This window comes from Homo sapiens, chromosome 5 (genome assembly GCF_000001405.40).
Source record: "Homo sapiens chromosome 5, GRCh38.p14 Primary Assembly".
NCBI lineage: Eukaryota > Metazoa > Chordata > Mammalia > Primates > Hominidae > Homo > Homo sapiens.
The window spans coordinates 110,831,677-110,832,636 of NC_000005.10; the positions used below are offsets into that span (position 1 = coordinate 110,831,677).

General features: G+C 41.6%; 1 annotated feature.

The window, feature by feature from the left end:
• Window positions 204-737: an enhancer, noted in NCBI's record as "NANOG hESC enhancer chr5:110167579-110168112 (GRCh37/hg19 assembly coordinates)". NCBI's record gives its function as "activates a minimal SCP1, AML or CMV promoter by ChIP-STARR-seq in naive H9 embryonic stem cells {active_cell/tissue: H9 hESC(naive)}" and the evidence as "EXISTENCE:reporter gene assay evidence [ECO:0000049][PMID:30033119]".

Here is a 960-nt window from a genome sequence, read left to right on the forward strand (position 1 = left end):
ATCTACAAAAATAGGCTGAATTTTCATTCTTAAATACATTTAGTCATTCCAGATTTTTTATCTACTCATTCCTGATAAGCTTGATGTTGGCCTTTATGCTAACCCCTATTCCACTGACTGCTCTCTAATTTCCAATTCCATATCTCTCTCCTAGCCTTGTAGCCTCTTTTCCAAGCTCACACCCATGATCAACAATTTCAACTTTCCCTCCAATAGTGCCCTACAATTCCTTATTAATCCATTACAAATCTGTAGTGACCACATTGCCATTGCCAACCCCAATTAAAGCTGAAACTACCTTTGCAAAACTTATATCAGTGAGAAAAATTATAATACTAGGCTGACTTTTCTTGCTTTTCCCTTAATTATTCCCCAAATTAACTTTGGAAGACATTTAGGCTGTAGTTTAAATGATAATAGCCTTGCCCGAAGACTTGACCACTTTTGTAAAGTTAATGAGAGGCCATCAAGCTGGGCGGAGGAGAGAAGTCTGAGTCCTGCTAAGGTGTAGGCATAAAGGATTATCAGCCATTATTCTGGAGGTCATAAGAGATGCATCTACCCCAATTAATCTTGCAAATAACACTACTATTGTAGATTTGCCTTTTGAGAAATCTTTCCAGGTTTTTGGCATGTCTGATACCCATGGCTCCACCTGGACTCTGCTCCTGTGGCCCCACTCAGAGGCGATTCAGCCCACAGGAGGACAGCTTTCACCCTCTATGATTTTATCTCCACCCAACCAATTAGCAGCAAGCATCTGTTATCTGGCCACCCGACCCCGTCCTCCAAACTGCCTTTGAAAAACCCCTAACCTACGAGCTTCTGAGGAGATGATTTGAGTACAAACTTCGTCTCCCACACGACTTGTCCATCCTAGTGTCTACTAAACTCTTTCTCTACTACAATGCTGTAGTTTTTCATTATGCATGGGCAGGAAGAACTCCTCAGGCAGTTACA